This window comes from Homo sapiens, chromosome 4 (assembly GCF_000001405.40).
Source record: "Homo sapiens chromosome 4, GRCh38.p14 Primary Assembly".
In the NCBI taxonomy this organism is placed as follows: Eukaryota; Metazoa; Chordata; class Mammalia; order Primates; family Hominidae; genus Homo; species Homo sapiens.
In genome coordinates this window covers 158,841,819-158,861,926 of record NC_000004.12, presented here as the reverse complement: position 1 = coordinate 158,861,926, position 20,108 = coordinate 158,841,819, and the positions used below count along the sequence as shown (strand labels likewise).

The following is a 20,108-nucleotide window of genomic DNA, read 5'->3' as shown; positions in this document are numbered from 1 at the left end:
TTAGAATCCAGGGACCAACTTCCTATTCCTCATCTGCCCAAAGACAACCTATGAATTACTGGGTGAGAGAGCCGGTATAAACTACAAATTCTAGCATTTTTTTCCTATTCCATCCCATATATTCTCTGAATAGTCAAATTAGGTACTAACCCAGCTGTGCCCAAAGAGGATTATACGGATGTGTTTTGGCCAGCATGTTCACTGACTGGGAGGTACGTTTCTCTGAGAAGGCTTTGATGGGAGGGTGATCCACAGGCATGACAGTTGGGACCCAGGCCAGGTGGTAGGTTAACACCGCAGTCAGTAAGGCAGCAAAAAACCTTGGAGAAATGGAAAAAGATACAACCAACTTAGTCAATACAGAAAGAGGCACATCCTATGCAGTACACACATTGGCCATGAGATTTGCATACAAGTCTCCAGAGAGTTGAAGCTTACTGGTTTTTATTTATCTGTTCTATCAGAAGTGTAAACTCCTTGAGAAAGCGCTGGCAGAGCTGGTTTTTTTCCAAAGTGCCGGACATCATAGTAAGCCATACAGGTTCAGCTATCCTTGGAACAGAATATAAGTTCCAGATAGTTCCTCTATAGAACAGAAAGAGAGGGAAACACAAAAGTGTCAGAAATACTATTTTGGATAATCTTGGTGTAAAAGAATAAAGGAGAAAACAACTTGAATCTATGTAGTCCTTAAAAGATTCAAGCTCCACACATAACAGGGGTTGCACACTATGGCCCACGGGCCAAATCTGACTGCCACCTTTTTTTGTAAATAAAAAGTTTTACTGGGTCACAGCCGTGCTCATTTATTTACTTATTTATTGTCTATGGCTGCTTCTGTGGGACAACGGCTAAGTTCAGTTGCTACTACAGAGACTCTACAGAAACTGAAAGTACAGAACTAGAAAGCCTCACTTTCAGCTTCTTGACCTTTGAAAAATAGACACCTCATTAAAGTAGGACCCAGATTCTCAGCCGGGCGTGGTGGCTCATACCTGTAATCCCAGCACTTTGGGAGGCCAAGGTGGTGGATTACAAGGTCAAGAGATAGAGAACATTCTGGCCAATATGGTGAAACCCCGTCTCTACTAAAAATACAAAAATTAGCTGGGCATGGTGGCGCGCGCCTGTAAACCCAGCTACTCGGGAGGCTGAGGCAGGAGAATCGCTTGAACCCAGGAGGTGAAGGTTGCAGCGAGCCGAGATCGCACCACTGCACTCCATCCTGGTGACAGAGCGAGACTCAGTCTAAAAAAAAAAAAAAAAAAAAAAGTGGGACCCAGATTCTCAAGCGCAAGCCAGTGAGCGTCCAGTCTGACCACAGCAGAGCAACAGGCAAATCTCCAGTGCTTTCCCAAAAACTATGGAAGGTTTACTAATCATCAGACTGCCATCAAAGAGCACAACTTTATGTCATTCTCAAATATATGACTTAAGTCTTAGCAATCACCAGATAATAAGTAACATGTTACTTGAGTACTTTAACACATAATCCACAGTAAAAAAAAGGCTTGCGATTTTGCTCCAGGTAGCATTACTGAGTTCATCAGCATATACTTTAAGCATCATAAAAGTGTTCTAACATTCAAAGGATTATAAATTTTTTTTTTATCCTTCCTCTATGGAATAACAGTTTGACTCATTCGCTCATGACTGCTTTGGAGTGGGATTCCATTCCCTATCAAGAAAGTGGCTCTAAATGGTGCAACAATCCCAACTCAGCATGATCAGAGAGGATCCCACCTGCTACCCAACACAATTTACCTTTCCACACAGATACTAGGAGCAAGGACTCTAGACACCAGTTTCCAGAGGACACTTGGTGTAAACTAGGACTGTCCTGGCAAACTGGAATGTATGTCTTCCCGACATGCATAACCTCTCCATCTGTGCTTTGAATAAGCATCCCTGAACTCAAGTTTCCACATCTGTAAAATGGGGTTAGTAGTGCTTAGGGCTTTTGTGAGGCTGACATAAGATAATGAATAGACTGGTGAGAGATACCTGAACATTAGTTTTCCCCATTCATCCTGTTAAAAACAATCCTATCAGGGACTGTCGGTTGAGCAATAGTGAGGATTACTCAGCGGTAAATTATTTAAATTTTTTGCTTCATTTGTTCTGTTTCCATCTTGAAGGGCGGAACCACAAAAGTGAGGAATAACTGCCAGGCCCCCAATTCTTCCAAGTCACAGTTTATCTTTATCCATGGCTGCTCATAAACATCTCCTGTTGGATTTGCCAAACTTTGCCACTTTACCTGAATTCTCCCAGAGCTTCCATCAAACGGCTGACATAAAACTGGACTCGGAGACTTGATTCTGCTATTTTCCTACAGGAGATCATAGCCTTTATTGAAGAGAAAGCAAGTCAAATTACTGAGAAGAAATTTTATAACTTATCTACTGGGCTGTATTAATAAAAAAAATTATGTAATCAATTAACAACACTCAAGGTAATAATGCCTTCAGTCACGAAAAAGCAGTCATTTCCTTCCCTAAGGTAACCCAGTATCTGGTAACTAACATCAACATGCCTAAAATTTATCACTGCTACAGGTGATTTAACTTCCTTAGGAAAGACATCTGATACATCGGCAAAGAAATTCTGCCATCTTCAAAGCCCCACAATCACTTCTCTATTTGACTTTGGATTACATCCTTATTACCTTTTCAATTGCACTCTTCAGCCTGTTCATGTGAGATTCAAACAGGGGAAAATGAGAAAAGAAGAAGTCCTGGAAATTCCTTTGTGCTTCTTCTTTCTCACATAGGGAAAAGATGATGCTTATGGCAATTTTCTTCCTCCTAACCATAGCTGGATTAGAGCTACAGGTTTCTTCAGCCAAGCTGAATGTCTCATCAGTTGACCTGGAGGGAAATATAAGTTTGAAAAGTTGCCATGCATCAGTGAGTCACACTGAAGGTCAACTGTAATGACTGGGGATGACACCCAGAACATTCAGTCATAACTAAGAGTATCTCTGCCTTTAGTTCATTCTTTTCTATAATTCCCTGGCATGAAGATGAGAACATCAGCTTGCCTGCCACACGGTATTATCCTAACATGGAAAGAAGCTCAAATGAAAGCTACAAGTAATTTAAATTTCCCGTTGTTACTCTTGTCCTTTTCCTTTGAATCGTTTTATGTCAAATTGATGATATTTAGGAAGGAATGTGAAATATCTGTTTATCCAAAACATAGTCAGATACCAATAGATAAGACATCAAAAGAGGAATGATACTACGTGGTATTCTATTGAACAAGAGTAAACATTTGAACATGTACTGGTACTTCCAGGATTACTTTCCCAGGGCTATTAAAACTACTAGATCAAGTAACTCTTCTAAATGCTCAGATTAAGCCATATGATTAAGCTCTCTGAAAATCCTCCAAGCAGAAACACTTACCTCTCTTCTGCTACAGTAAAATTTTCAAAAAACCTGATTCTTTTGAGAGACTCGGCTTCTATGATGACAGCCACGAAGCCCAAAACTTCTAAATATATATTTAATTTGTCTTGTGGGGTAAGCCTCACAAAAATGGCCTAACCATGTCTCTTACTTAACTACTGTGAAAAGCCAGTGTAGCTACCAAATAGCTACTAACAGCAAGAGTACAAATAAAATAGTTTTTTCCTACAAAAACACCAACACAAAGGACCTAACATTGCAAATGAGAGCCCTAGACTGGCGATACATTTTCTCTTTCTAACTCCATCATCTAGTCTCCTATCTCTGCCAAATATAGAAAGGAACTGCTTCCTCCATTTTCTTTACTATAAATTACAACATAACAATTACTCATGCTGGGCAGAATATGAGAATTAGCCTTCTGCCCCCTGGTCTTCAACTTATTTACTTAGGGCTCTACTCATAGCTTGTATGATTTCAAATAAACCTAGATTTTATTATTAAACATACATATGCCAAAAGTGTTATGGTCAGGAAAGCTATTAAATTAATTAATTAATTTTGGGGGGACAGGGTCTCACTCTGTCACCCACGCTGGGGTGCAGTGGTGTGATCATGGCTCACTGCAGCCTCAATTTCCCAGGCTCAAGCGATCCTCCCACCTAAGCCTCCCAAGTAGCTGGGACTACAGGCACATGCCACCATGCCCGGATACATTTTTTTTTTTTTTTTTGGTAGAGATGGAGTCTCCCTACATTGTCCAAGCTGGTCTTGAACTCCTGGGCTCAAGTGATCCTTCCACCTCAGTGTCCCAAAGTGCTGGGATTACAGCCGTGAGCCACTGCACCTGGCTATTTTATTTTTAAAGGAAAGGAGATAGACATCTTATTCTAACCTCATTATGTGTTACTATTTCCCTTAACTTCAAGCAAGATCCTGGAGATGTAGGTATGGTTGGTAAATCAGTAAAAGGTTTTCACTCCAGATGTTACTGATGGCACATGGTGCTGTTATAAATGCTACACATTACAATAAACCATCAATTGCTTTCCCTGGGAAATTCCCGGATTCTAATCATCAGAGAAAATTCTTGAGGTTTCCTTAGAACTTCACACAATTTCATACAATGTTCTCTCTTCTTTACCAAGGTACTGGCACTAAAGCCTTGTTTTCTTGCACTACAGTAGTTGATTTCTGTTCTGTATAGGAAATTCTTCTGAGTTTATATTACAATAAGGCTTGCTTGCAATCCTTTCCACTTTGTCTGTCATCTTACATTTCCCTTCTTTTTCAAAAGTAAAATGACTGTATCAGTCCACTCATCTTTAGGCCAGCTTGACCTTTAATAATCAAATTATAATAAACACTGAACCCAATACAGTTTCTCATCAACATCTCCACCCTATAAACAATAGCCAATGCTCTCATCAGTTTTAATGTAGGAGAGAGTGCCACCTGCTGAAATTTCTGAAAAACTTCCATAGCTATAATAGAGTGGAGAACTTACTTGCTTCACCATAACCCTCCACTGAATTCTAAATCAACTGAGTTTCATTCTGTAGTCTTGCATCAACCATGCAACGTGGAATAAATCAGGTCACGTAGTATCTTACTTATAATTTAGAAATTATTCTACAAAAAATGATGTTTAAGAATGTTTTCAAAAATTTAAGTGTGTGTCCCAGTACTTCATCAGTACTTTATCTCCATGTCACCAGAGAAGGTACACAGGCTGTACTGCAAATGTGGAAACTGAGGCAGAGTTCTACCTCAACTTTCCTCAGGAACAGAAAGGTTCTTAGTAACAATGCTGGAGTTAGAACCCAGGATTCCTATCTTCTAGTCTAGGCTCATGACTTGGATACTGGCAATGACCAGGGATTCTGACCCCATGCCTAATCTGTCTGCTGGTGCTCATGCTAGTCAATGCATCATGCCACGCAGAGCACTGAGGAAAGGAGCTGGAAGCAGTCTGATCAACCGACAGCCCTGAGAGTCAAGGAAAGGCTGCAGCTACATACAATTTTTTTCCTAATAAAGAAATCAAATAGAATTTTGTTAACACTTATCGATAATCATTTATATACATTGTAAGTACTTCAAGATCATAAATAATTAAAGCAAAAATGGCTATTTAAGTACATCTCAATAATCTATCACTGGTATCAGGACTCCTTAGTCTAATTGTTATTTATGTCAGTTTTGAACTTATACTGAACCTATGTATTACATTGGACTATATGAAATTAATGTTTTGTAGGTCAAAGAACATCCCATCAGCAACTTTATAAAGTTGGTCCAATTTAATAAGTCAAATCAAAAGGCTTCCTGGGACATTACACCTTGCTCTTTAGGGTTTCAATTGCCTCGGTAAGTGATGGAATCCTTGAGGTTAGCTGTTAGATGCCCAAGCCCCATTCCCCATCCAGTAATCAAAGCCTACCACTTGGCACAGCAGGGGGCTCTGAGGTCAGCGTGGAGCCAACTGTTAAGAATTGTGAATACTGAAAACATTCATTCTATTTTATAGAATAAAGTGTTGCCCGATTCTAACAAAAAACAGAAACTGTGACTATCATCCCTGCTACCTTTAACTCTCTTAGGAAGGACATTTTTAATTACCATGAATTTTCTGTCAAAGCCAGAAGCAATCATAGTGTTTGGTACCCACTATTCTCCTGTCTCTAGCATAAAAAACTAATTTTCCCAACCACATATCTGCCAAAAGGGAGAGATCAACTACAAATCCTTTAAATGAAGGGATCTTAGGCCGGGTGCAGTGGCTCACGCCTGTAATCCCAGCACTTTGGGAGGCCGAGGTGGGAGGATCACGAGGTCAAGAGATCGAGACCATCCTGGCCAACATGGTGAAACTCCGTCTCTACTAAAAATACAAAAATTAGCTGGGCATGGTGGCACACGCCTGTAATCCCAGGTACTCAGGAGGCTGAGGCAGGGGAACCGCTTGAACCCGGGAAGCAGAGGTTGCAGTGAGCTGAGATTGCACCATTGCACTCCAGCCTGGTGACAGAGTGAGATTCCCGTCTCAAAAAAAAAGGGATCTTCACGGGCACAGTAATCAATTCAAAACGTCTGCCACACTCATGTTCTCGGTGTTCAGCAGTACTCTATTAAGGGCTGGCTGCATGGGCATGCGACCCCACACGCACAGCGTCCCCCCTCTCACAAGGGCCCCAGGCTTCATTTAATGTTCTGTGATTACCATTTTGAATTTTAAATAATTTTATCTTTGGACTTTTGTGCTGTAAGTGAAGTTTAATGGGACAATGAAGCATGTGTTCGGATGAAGTCTAATGAGACAATGAAGCTCAGAAAAGGATACCCCAAAGTATGACACTTTGGTATGCTGAGTACTTTGAACTGAAGGACAGGGGCTCAAAAGCAAGACCTTGCTTTTCTGACCTTATTCTGCCCTTCCTTCTCCTACTCCTCTTTCTCCCCAAAGGCATAGAAACTAAGATTCCTGTTCCCCAAGGTAAATCAAAAAAACATGAGCCTCTTTTTTCCCCAAAGCTAACTGTAAAACCTATTATAGAAATACTATTCTAACTTTCTCCCACCTTTGTAAGTGCTGGTCACAAATAATTTCTCTGACCTACCTTGCCTGAAAATAGATCATAAGACCCTCCCATTTCGGAGGGGTCTTACCCTCTACCTGGGAGGAAGGAATGCCATACAGAGAGGTCAAAAAGAATTCCGACAAGACAGGTCCTGCTGGGTTTTCCTGCTTAAGTCTATTACCATTAGATCATATTTCTTTGTCCAATCACATTTCTACATGGCAGTCCATTCTGTGTTGAACTTAAGCATAAAAATACAGTTTTCCTTGGGTCCCTCAATCTTCATGTCTGAAGGCTCCATGTCATGTGAAACTTTGACTAAATAAAATTGTTATGTTTCTCTCTTGTTAACCTGTATTTGTTACAGGAGCCATGACCCTTATGATGGGGAGGGCACGGATGAACTCAGAACCCAGGGCTTGCAGCCCAGACACCGAGCAACTGGCCCGGCAGTCAGGCACATACCCATAAGCCTGGGGCAGGACACGGTGTTAGAAGACTCTAAAGCGGCACTGCCAGGTCTTGGACCCACACTAATGGCTGTGACTGTGGTGACAACAGAAGCTGCAGTAGCCATGGTTGTGGGTGATAGGGGAGAGGAGAGAGGAGGGACTCTGGTAGCTCCAGGAACCAGGGTGGGAGGCCAGTTTGCCCATCAGTCACCGGAGCCTGTCCCTATAGAGTCTGCACAGATATTTAACTCTATGACCTGAGCACCAGGACAGTAAATTATCACAAAGTAAAAGCCTACATGGGGACATTGCAATAAAGAATATCAGGGAGTTATTATAATTCTGCAGAGAGTTTAGTCTCTGTTTTTGAAAACTGCTGCAACACTGCAAAGTAAATATTCATAGGCATAGAAATAGAAATTGAATGTAAAGATTGTTATACTGGACAAAAAAATACACTGTTTTCATATGAAGCTTCAGATGAACAAATTATTAAAGAGGAAGGCCATTTTAAAATTAATTTTTCCTTGTAATTGAGGACACAGTGATAGAATGCATAAACAGGCTTTTTGAATTATATATAACTCATGAGAACATTTTTAGTTTCTTGTAAGATCTCCACAAGTTACAGGAAATGTCAGAAGAAATATTAAAATAAGCTTGTATAAATTTACATCTAAAATTAAATTCAGACTTACTCAAAATGGATTTGTGTGAAGAATTAAATCTTTTAAAAAACTGTTTAACAAGAATCATCTGATCCAGATGTACTAAAATTTACATCTTGAAAGTTTATCAAAAATTTATCCATAACCATCATTCTGAGCAAACTATCGCAAGGACAGAAAACCAAACACCGCATGTTCTCACTCATAGGTGGGCACTGAACAATGTCCCCACTTGGACACAGGGTGGGGAACATCACACACCGGCGCCTGTCGTGGGGTAGGGGGATGGGGGAGGGATAGCATTAGGAGATATACCTAATGTAAATGACAAGTTAATGGGTGCAGCACACCAACATGGCACATGTATACATATGTAACAAACCTGCACGTTGTGCACATGTACCTTAGAACTTAAAGTATAATAATAATAAAAAAAATTTATCCAGATGTTGTCATAGTCCATAAAGCTATGTAAGACTGCATCAGCAGAAAGATCCTTCTCCAAGTAAAAAATTATCAAAAATTATTTGCCACCTTGCATTTGCCAGGAGTGACTATCACTTTCAATTATATCCACTGAAAGCCAAGTTGCTAAAACTATAAACTTTGATGACTAAACAAATGTATTTGCAGAAAAGGCTTACAACACAAGATATCACATAATGATATTATAATATAAAATTATGACATCAAAAATATTATGTTTGGAATTTATTAGTTTATATTATTATTCATCTATCACTATCATCTCTATTATATCTTACATATAAAGTATTCTTAAAGAAAAACTTTTTTTCTTTTTAGTCCCTTTAATAACTCTTTTCTTGTTTTTTGGGTAAGAGGACCACATTTTTATTTTGCACTGGCCCATAAACTAGGTAGCCAGCCTTGACCATATTCACAACCTTTCTGAATGTAAGATACTTATTTTAGGTGTATTATTTCAACTTTGGATTTAAACCTGAAGGGATAAAAAAACATTTTCAGAAAAGAAATGTTGAAAGAGGATGGTTTCCAAGACCTATCTCTTCCAATCACAGAAGCTGTCATAATGACAGTGAGGATGGTGGCGATGCCGTCTCCTGACAGTTGCAGTAATGGTAATGACAATGACAGCAATAATAATAGTAAATAATTCACATTGGCCACATTTTATTGCCCATATCCTATGTCTTGGCTAAACACCGGACTTGATTTATCTCATTTAACCCTCCCAGCCACACTCGGAAGCTGTGCTAGTATTATTATCATATTGCAGATGACGATGCAACACTCAGAATCCAGGTTAACTTATTCTATCAGACATCTAGTGAGTGACAGAGCTAGGACTTGTGTTCACACAAAATTCCAAGCTTTTAATCATCTCATTCAAAGTCCACCAACCAAAAAGCAGCTTCTTGATGGGTGACAAAGCTATAATTTTTTCTTTCCAGCTAGCTCCCTAGGATTGTGAAAGGAACAGAAGCGAGGCAAGCCACCTGACATGTGCTGCTCACACATCCTGACCCCTCAGTTTCTCAGCTTGTCCCTGCAGTGTCATCTCTTCCAGGAAGGGCTCCCTAATTCCCCCCATGACCATCACTGTATTTTCTCCATCCTGAGTCTCATGGCACTTTATGTCTCCCTGTGATATTTATCATGTACCATCTTGTAAACTATCCAAGTACAGGCACATAGCTGAACTGTCTTATACCTTCACGGATCTCTACGTATGTTGAGTACTAGTCAATTTACTAAATCAGTTAATTGACATGTGAATTTTTATAGGTACATATAAAAATTCCACTTCAAGTATTTGGATTGTAGGAAGAACAAGTTGGAAGCTATGAATGTAACATCAAATGTACATTTTGCACACAAAACCAGCTGAAATAAAGACAGAAAATACCTAGATGCCATCTCTATTTAAAATCATGTTCATATCTGTTTAGTTGAAGAATTTACATTTTACAAAGAGAATATATCACAAACCCTTGACTTCATATATTTTTGAATACCACACTGGTATCACTGTAGCCAAGGAAGAGATTGATCCACCCTTCATTACTTATACAAGCTACATCTGGAAGGGACTCATTTTAAAGAGAGCACACCATTTTAAATGAACACCCAATCTAGCTCAACATGATACAACTACCCAGATACTCCCCAGTGTCTTCCAAAGGAGGAGATTTTAAAATTTCAGCTTTTATTTATTCTTCCCTTTAGAACTTCCAATTTGTAAACTTTCAGGCTCAGCTGAAGCTAATAAAAAAGTTTTGGTTTTTTTTCCACTGACAATAGGCACGAACAGCCTCCCTGCCAGTTTCATCAAGCTGCCTACACTCCTACTTTTCTCAGCAAGAGGAAACTTGCAACTCACCTTCTTGGGATGATGCCATTTTCCAAACTTGTTGTCTGACTTCGAAGCCAGCGGCGCTGGTAACTGCTGGAAGAAGATGTAGAGGAGCTTGGAGATGGGAAAGGTGTGATCAAAAGACTGCTTAGTGAGGCTGTAGGAAGAATTTGGAATTTGAAAGTTGAGGTCAATTAGTCCTCATGTAGCTACATAATGCACAACATTAAGAATGTATTTAATATCACTGAACTCTACATTTATTATGTATTTAATATCACTAAACTGTACACTTCGCCACTAAAAAAATGACAAAACCCGCAATTACCTTTGCACCAACCTAATAAAATGGTTGAGATGGTAAATTTCATATTATATGTATTTTAATACAATCCAAAAATTGGAAAAAAAATATCTATGCCAAGTAATCTAAAATTTCAGGTTCTACCAGTCATATCCAGCAGGGGGAGACTATAATTTCTCTCTTCCTAAGATTTCTGAACAGCAAAGAAAACATCCTTTAAAAAGGAACACAAATTAAACGAAATAAGAGTCACAGATGTAGCAAGTGCACAAATTAGCAGGCCCATATTACAAATGCAAAATAATCATTGCTCAGACTGTAGATTGCAGATTTCTACTAAAATGGTCCACACAACATAACTATATTGCCACCAGGTAACTAATGCCATACATAATGCTTACTTTACACATATTTCCTCCTTAGTAATCCTTCACTCTATACTTTGAGGTAAAATTAGGCAAATAAGTTTTTTCCCCATCTAGTATCCTGTCTCCCAAACTTCATCTCCATATATACAATACTTATCCTCCTTCCCTCCAGCCCCCACTGCTACTCTGTTGTCTGTGAAAAAGAAACCTCTACTCTCCAATATGCTTTCTGCTTGGATTACTTATTTGCCTCTGAACCTTTCTCTGCTTCCTCCTGCTACATATTAGATGCCTACACCTGTGTCTCAGGAAGTATGAGCTGACAGTGCCATCCCAGACTTTTCTAACAGGCAGGGAGGAGGGACTAGTCCCTCTCAGGTAGGCAAAGGGTTTCTTTCAAGTCAAGCTGCTTGATGAACATCTACTGGTTTGAAAGAATGGAAGAAAACAGACTTGTTCTGCTTTTACTTCCCTAAGGCTAAGGAATTAGACATTGAAATGTCACTCAGTCCAGTGGAAAATAAAATAGGGTGCTACAGATGGCCAGTCAACATTTTCTGAAACAAATCACAGGGCAAAGGAAATTGATTTTGGTAAATACAGTATACTATGCTCATGAATATCACTTGATAAAGCAGTGTCTCCACATGAACTATTACATTTATACTTTTGTAGGCAAATGTAAATAACCTGACTTCCCGACCTGAGCTCTTAAATACTACAGGAGTTACTTTGCTATCAACTAATAAGTAATGCCAGGTGTGGTAGGCAACTGGGGTAAGTGGTGGACAAGTCTATAATAGTATCAATGAACATGATGACTCAAGTTTCTTTCCAAAGCAGAGGTCTCTGAGATGCTTTTCCTTTTATCTAGCTGATATTCACAGAAAATTTGTTTGGTAGGTCTTAATCATCTTTGCATCCATTGTACCCATAACGGTGCCTTGACCACAGTAGGCAATTAGCAAATGCTTCCTGAACGTATGGCACTTTTTTTTTTTTTTAACCAAACTGTTACATGTGGCTGGCCCCAGTAAGCTGACCTGGTTGCCATCTTGAGACCAGACTTAAATCCCCAAAACCAAATCCACATTTCAAGTATCAGTGAACAGGTAATTTTTCTGAGAATTTTGAAAGGAGTTAGAAGAGAGCTTTTCCTTGGAGTCACACAAAATTACTTAATAAAACATCCTAATTAGACGTTTCTGTCCTGCCCCCTAGTTCCTAAAGTCCCCTACAGAATCCAGAAGCCCCCTCCCACATCTCTAGGGTCCTGCCTCTCTCCTTCCCTTATGCTGAGCAAATCAACTTCTGGCAGGCAGAGAACAAGGTTGACAGATGGTACTTGCTGGATAAATACTTTTCTCCTGTCACAGTATTAGGGCTCAGAAAATGATACCCCAAAATATGGTGCCCTGGCATCCTGAGCACTTTGAACCAAAGGACACTGGAAGGCCTCAGAAGTCAAGTCTGTCTCAGATCTTCTCCTGACCTTCTTTCTCCTGCTCCCCCTCCTCCCTGCAAGGCAAACCACAGAAACTAAAATTCCTCTTCATTAAGGCAAGTCACAGAAACTAGATCCCCTTTTCCCCCAAAGCCCGCCATGAAACCTAGAAATATTACTTTAACATTCCCTTGCCTTTCTATGTAAGAGCTGGCTATAAGGAAATTCTTAGGCCTACTTTATCTGAAAGTAGATCGTAAGACCCTTAATTCCAGAAGGGGTCCAGTCCTATACCTGACAGGAAGAAATGCCACACAGAGAGATCAAGAAGAATCAGGATGGGCCCTTGCTAGGTGGGTTTTCCCCTTTGGTCTGTGACTATAAGATCAACCCCCTTTTGTCCAATTACAATTCTACCTGGCTACCCACTCCTTCATCAAATCTAAGCATAAAAAGGGACAGTTTTCCCTTGGGTCTTTGGGTATCTCTGAAGGCTCCCATGCCATATAAAATTTTGATGCATTCTTCAGTATGACAATTGCATTTTTCAACTCCAGAATTTCTGCTTGATTCTTTTTAATTATTTCCATTTCTTCATTAAATATATCTGATAGGATTCTGAATTCCTTCTGTGTTCTCTTGAATTTTGAGTTTCCTCAACACAGCTATTTTGAATTCTCTGTCTGAAAGGTCACATATCTCTGTCTCTCCAGGACTGGCCCCTGGTGCTGTATTTAGTCCATTTGGTGAGGTAACGTGATCCTGGATGGTCTTTATGCTTGTAGATGTCAGTCAGTGTCTGGGCATTGAAGAGTTAGGTATTGATTGTAGTCTTCACAATCTGGGCTTGTCTGTACCCACCCTTCTTGGGCAGGCTTTCCAAATATTTGAAGGGACTTGGGTATTGTGATCTAAGTCTTTGGTCACTGCAGCTGTATCTGAACAAGCCAGCTGACACTGTGCTCCCCTTGGCTGATCTTGGATAAGATCTAGAAGAATTCTCTGGATTACCAGGCAAAGACTCTTGTTCTCTTCCTTTACTTTGTCCCAAACAAATGGAGTCTCTTTCTCTCTCTGCTGAGCTGCCTAGAGCTGGAGGAAGGGTGAAACAAACATCCCTGTGACCACCACCATTGAGACTGTATTGGGGCAGACCTGAAGCCAGCACAGCACTGGGTATTGCCCAAGGCCTGCTGCAAGTACTACCTGGTTACCGCCTGTATTTGCTGAAGACCTAGGGCTCTAAAATCAGCAGGTTGTGAAGCCAGCCAGGCTTGTGTCCTTCCCTCAAAGGTGGCAAGTTCCCCCTGGTGAGTCCAGAGATGCTGTGAGCCAATGCCTGGAGTCAGAAACCTTACGAATCTACCTGATGCTCTGTTCTGCTGCAGCTGGGCTGGCACCCAAGCCACAAGACAAAGTCATTCCAACTCTTCCCTCTCCTGTCCCCAGGCAGAGGAGTCTCTCTCCATGTCCACCACCACCACGGGCCCATAGTGGCTACTGCCAGCCTATAGTGATGTTCACTTAACGCCCAAGGGCTCTTCAGTCAGCTTATGGTGAATGCTGCCAGGCCTGGGACTCACCCTTAGGGCAGTGGGGTCCCCTCTGGCCCAGGGCAGGTCCATAGATGCTGTCCAAGAGCCAATGTCTGGAACTGAGGACCCTAAGTGCCTGCTTGGTGCTCTACCCCACTATGGCCAACCTGGTACCGTTTTCTCAAGCATAAGGGGCCTCTCCTCAAAGCCACCACAGCAGTGACTGTGCTAGGTCATGTCACGTCTCAGAGTCTCACCCAGGGCCTTAAGTCAGCAGGTGATGAATCCTGCCAGTACTGGGTCCTTCCCTTCAAGGCAGCGGGTTCCTTTGTGCCCAGGCTGTGTCTGAAAATGTTGTCTGGGAGCTAGGGCCTAGAATAGGCACCTCATGACATTGCCCAGTGCTCTATCCTACTGTGTCTGAGCTGGTATCCAAGACAAAGTCCTCTTTACTGTTCCCTCTCCTCTCCAAGTGGAAGAAAGGAGTCTCTCCTGGAGCTACGAACTACACTGCCTGGGGTTGGGAGATTGGTGGCACAAGCATTCCCTTAGTTGCCCCGGCTGGTGTATCACTAAGCTGTGTGCACCCCAAGTCCACTGGCTCTGAGCCCAGCACAGCATCAGAACTGGCCCAGGAGTTGCAGTCCTTGTGGTCTAGACAGCCTTTCAAGTTTATTTATTTAGGACCCCAGAGCACTTTAGTCCGTGGTGGCAAGGCTTTCTGTAACTCAAGTTCCAGCTGCTGGGATGGGCGCTTCCTTCTGGCTAGGGCTGGAGTAAGTGCTCCGTGGGCACCAGCTGAGCTCTGCCTGGTGTTGGCAGCACTGCATTCCAATGCAAAGTTTCTCCCCAAGTGCACAGATTCCCTTTCTGCACCACACGTCCAGGGGATTGGGGAGGGGTGGCGCTGGCAATTCAAGACTGTCTCGCCTACCCTCCCACCCTCTATGAAGTTAAAAGCAGGTTCTGTGATCGTTCACCTGATTTTTGATTTTTATGAAGTTATTTTTTTGTGTGTGTGGATAGTTTTCAAATTTGGGGTTCCTGCAGAGAGGACGATCGGTGGAGGCTTCCATTCAGCCATCTTGCTCTGCCTCCTCTTCACGTAAAATTTTGATTAAATCATTTGTTACGCTTTTCTCTTGTTAACCTGTATTTTGTTACAGGTGTGTCAGCTATTACCCTTAAGAGGGGTGAGAAAAGGTATCACAACCTTTCTGCCCCTACAACACAAGACAGAGAAGACCCTGAGGTCCAATTTATTCTGGAAATTATCTGTATTATATAATTCAGGTTAGCAAACTGAGTAAGAGTCCAGGCTCCTAGTTCAAATCCTGCTTCTGTGTCTAGTAGCTGTGACACTTGGCCAGCAGTTTACTTAACGTGTCAGCTCTCTCATCTGTAAAACGGGGACAATAAAGTACCACACCTCAGTATTTTTCATGAAAGCTGCTATCTGCTAGCGGATTCTGAATTGTCTAGTGGATCAAAACCAACATTTAAAAAAACAGAAAAGAAAACAGAGTATATTGCACTGTTAATATTAATCCATGAAAATTCTCTGTAATATATAAAGATGTTTCTTACTAGATCATGATGTAAAATGCATTAGCATGGGTTGCAGATCAAAGAAAAATCTGAAAAAACAGCTATTTCATAAGCTTCCTGTGAAGATTAAACAAATCAATACACATACAACACTTAACCCAGTCACCCACACGATAAATGTTAGCTTTTCACTCCTTCTAATCATTCTCGGAAAAGGTGGGCCAAGTAAGACAACTTGGTGTACTAGAAGATTATTAGTTCTAATTAGTTAATTATGAGAAGAACTTATAACTTGTAAAAGAGACATAACAAGAGAAGGCAAAAAATCAAAGAGAACATTCCTTTTTTCCTGCTGAATGACACTTTTTATGGCATGCAAATGAGACAGTTTATATTACAGTGTTGGCTTAGTGCTATCCAGCGTTTCCTCATCAAAAGTATTTTAAGATTTTTATGTAAAAGTGCTGTGGCACATCATTGTTAATCATATACTCTAGATAACAATTCAGTACAACTTTCAAATGCAAGAGGACTAACCTTAACCTGAAAACAACTGCCATTTTCATGACAAAAGGGTGGATTCAGTCAACATCAGTGTATCTGAATGTTGGCCTGGCTCACTATCTGAATGGCAGGGCCTTCTGATGCAATGCATGCAATGCTCGAGTGCTAGTATACATCTGAGCCACCTGGGGAGCTTGTTTAAAAAGAAAGCTTCATGAAGGTGGTGGTGCAAGCATGTTGTCCAGTAACTTGGTGGCCTGAGGCAGGAGGATAGCTCAAGCCCAGAGGATCGCTTGAGCCTAGGAGCTTGAGTCCAGCCTAAACAACATAGTGAGACCTCATCTCTTTAAAAAGAAAAAGACAAGACAGCAACATGGGCTCTCCCCTAGTTGATTCACTACCTTTGGAATACGGCCTAGCATCTACATGATAATGAAAAGAACTTTTGCATGAGTTCAGTGCTAGCTGTGCCTCCAGTTAACTCTGTGTACTGGATAAAGAAATTCTCCAATTGGTACCTCAGTTATCAAATGCCAAGACTTTTAGTTAAATTATTCACAGGCTCAGTTTCAGTTTCAAAAGTGCTATATCTAAATGTTCCTTAATATTTTTAGGAGCTTTTCTTTTACAATACTTTTATAATTAGAAAAAAGTTAATGCATATAGGTTGCAAAGACTTTGGCAGTTTTGTGCATTAAGAAGAAAATTAAAATTAACACTAGTCCCATCACCAGATTACTGTTAACATTTTATATCTGGTTAACGCCCAGCTTAAACACAACTGTGCTTTTGTCCCAACCCTCCTATCTAAGGAGGTATCTTCAACTAGCATCCATTTATACCTGCAGAGATTAACAACAAGAAAAGAGAATCAATCTAAAGATTTTAAAATGCTGCTTGCTGCTGTTCCTGGCATGTGCCAATCAAGTTCAAGATTAATGTTTAACTTTCTCTGAAAAAAAATTTTTGCTACTTGTGACAGTTTACTAGAAAACACTGTAGTGATTATTTGATGAAAGAATTTAGATTTGACCAAATAAGGCCCTGAAGCTCTTAAATCAAATCCATTCACTCAACGAATATTTACTGAACACTTACTAAGTGCCTGCACCATGCTAGGGACCTAGGATGGAAACTGAAGGGACATAGGCAGAGTAGTTGCCCTTAAGAGACTTACACTCATGGAATAAATAAGATTATTTCAGACAGTGGTAACTACTATAAAAATAAGTTACCATGATTTTCTCTAAATAACTAGCACAAAGGTTTTTGGGGGTGGTAGACATAAATTCTTTAATCAGTGGTCGACATCACCTTTATGAAAATGGGTCATCTCAACTGAGACTTAAATGCCAACAAAAGCCAGCCATGGAAAAGGCTCAAAGGGAGGACATCCCAGACATCCTATATGAAAAGAACCAGATAATATCAATATTTACCAAAAAAAATCCAAGCATACTCCTACTTATATATATGGATGGATTTATTTTCCCCCCCTCATTCAAATATTCATTGAGCATCTACTATATGCCAGGTACTATATGAGCTGCTGGGAACAGATCTGTTAATATGACAGATTGGGTAGGTTTCTGCCCTCATGGAGCTCACACTCTGAGGGAGAAGAAGAACAAACAAAAGTCTTCAAGGATTTAACAACATAACCACATAATGTGGTAAGTCGAGAAAGAAGGTGCAGAAGTCAAGCACTCAGAAGCAGCTCCAGTTTCTTCAAAGGAAAAAGTTTTGAGGTTGGCTTATTTATTCTGCCGAAAAATGTGATCACGGTTCCAAACAGGCAGCACCCTCAGACTTTGTCCAGGAAATAGGGCTACAGCAAATGATCAGGGCAGGACCCTAGAACAGATCTATGCCCTGCCAAGCATTTTCATTTGCAAGGAGACATCTAGGGAAAGGATGCTGCAGAGAACTCCTAACTCTTCTCTGTCTTCAGCAGCCATTCAAATACATGTGGAAACAATCCCATCAAAATAAAAAATGTAGCAGTGGGATCAGACCCCTTATTTCCTCTCCAGGCTCATTCTGCACCACTCTCCCATCCCCACGATACATCTTTGCACTAGCCCTAGCCCTTCCCGTACCTAAGATGCTCTTTGTTGTGATCTTCACATAGTTGGTCCCTACTGCCATTCAAGTCTCAGCTGAAATGTCATCTTCTCAGAGAGGCCTTCCATAAGTTTTCTTTTCCTCAGTGGTAAGTGGTTGCCTACATTTTATTGTCTATTATCTGTCTCTCCTTTATTGAATATAAAATCTGTGAGATCAGGGATAATATCCATTTGACCACTGATCTATTCTCATATCCTAGAAAAAAATGTCCGCCACATGAGGTGCTCAAGAAACGCTGCTGGATGAAGAATGAGCAAACAGTATGTGCAGGATGACAGTGATACCCATCTCTTCAAGTGTGACAGAAATGAAGCATTAGAGAAACACATTTCTGGACAGAATTCAAATACTGAATTTGTTAAAAGTTTCCTGTGGCCAACACAGTATATACGGCATTTAGATTTTCTTTTTTCCCCTGTCTTCATTAAAAACAATTTTTTGGATGGCATAAGTGATAGTATGGCTCTGAATCTGAGCACTTTTTATATATGTTTGACGCAGGGGGTATTACATCCACAACACAATAATGATCTTTGTTTACTGTAATATGACACTACTTATCTTCAAGTTTTAGCTTGAAACACTGGCAAAAATACAAGGTTCCTCGAAGTTTAGCAATTGTATTTCTCAACACACAAACACAGGAGCATTTAAAAGGTAAATGAGTATAGCTGTAATTATTGTCTAGCAGGAAAATTTCATTTAAAATAAACCAAAAATGTTAATAGGAAAATCAAATTATAAGGAATACATTATAGTTCCCAAATCACAAAATGATTTTAGGACTTTAAAGGGTCCTCAAAAGCCAAACAGGTACTTTAAAGTTTTAATAAAATTCCTATAAAGGCCCTTTAATAAAAAGCCAATGTTCTTACCACCTTGATTTCAAAACATCTTAAATTTTTTCCTTTTTAAAAAATTTGTATAATTAAAAAAAATTTATACAAAGGTTTTAAAAATTTATAAGGGGTACAAGTGCAGTTTTGTTACGTGGATATGTTGTATGCTAAAACACCTTAAATTTTAATTTATCTAAGGTATAAATGCTAGCCACCTTGGTAACCAACTCACTCTGCGCATTTATATGTCAAATTATTCTAGTGTACTGTGTCTTTTATTTATAGTTTGGGCTCTAAGAAAGAGGTGTCTACAAAAGACTTACGGAGGGCATAAAAATGTGGTCCTTTATTATTTCATTTAAGTAAAAGTTATTTAGTCTGGCTTCACAAAGGATTTTAATTCAAGTTACACTAAACTTATAGATTAATTTGCAGAATTTGATGTATCGCTCCATTTATTTAGGTCTTCTTTTAATATAAGTTATTACAATTTCTCAATACCAGTATCACATATTTTTTCTTAGATTTATTCCTTTATCCCTTACAGTTTTTATTGCTATCTTCATTACTTTCTAATTTTTCTTTAACAGGTATGTAAGAATGCAAATTTAGAAAGGAAAAAGCTAAGGCAAAAGACCAAGTAAATTTGTGGAAATGAAAAAGATAAATATCCATGCCAGGAAAATACCAAACATCTGAAATAGGAGAAATATAAAGAAATAAGAAACTGAGCCACACTACAGATTATCAAGCTCACATATATAAAGACAAGGCAAAGCAAGGCTAAGGCCAAGGCCAAGATTCGATGGTTAAGATACAACCAGGCACTTTTAGATTTGGATAGTTTATTACTTACATAGACAGTGAAAAGAAGAATAAGCCAAAGGTGCCAGCTCCCAGTGATCTTTGCCCCATACATCAAAAAGGACAACACCAACACAAAAGGGGCCAGATGCCTACAAGGCAAGTTGTGGGATATCCCGTTGCTGG

The 20,108-nt window shown here is 40.1% G+C and overlaps 1 protein-coding gene across 13 annotated transcripts in view, besides 1 other annotated feature; it reads right to left on the bottom strand.

Annotated features, from left to right (window-relative positions):
• FNIP2 (folliculin interacting protein 2) overlaps positions 1-20,108 on the bottom strand; it is a 139,025-nt gene that overhangs the window by 46,124 nt on the left and 72,793 nt on the right. For 10 of the 13 annotated variants that reach the window (XM_005263158.3, NM_020840.3, XM_047416018.1 and 7 more), the window contains 5 exons: positions 10,477-10,606; positions 2,669-2,870; positions 2,261-2,349; positions 439-585; positions 151-320 (listed from right to left, as the gene is read on the bottom strand). In XM_005263158.3, the coding sequence (XP_005263215.1) occupies positions 151-320; positions 439-585; positions 2,261-2,349; positions 2,669-2,870; positions 10,477-10,606 (738 nt within the window). Of the gene's footprint in view, positions 1-150; positions 321-438; positions 586-2,260; positions 2,350-2,668; positions 2,871-10,476; positions 10,607-19,974; positions 20,058-20,108 lie in introns of those variants that run through there. The other 3 variants (XM_017008487.2, XM_047416022.1, NM_001346043.2) reach the window with 3 other exon arrangements.
• Positions 15,915-16,563: an enhancer, noted in NCBI's record as "OCT4-NANOG-H3K27ac hESC enhancer chr4:159766516-159767164 (GRCh37/hg19 assembly coordinates)". NCBI's record gives its function as "activates a minimal SCP1, AML or CMV promoter by ChIP-STARR-seq in naive and primed H9 embryonic stem cells {active_cell/tissue: H9 hESC(naive and primed)}" and the evidence as "EXISTENCE:reporter gene assay evidence [ECO:0000049][PMID:30033119]".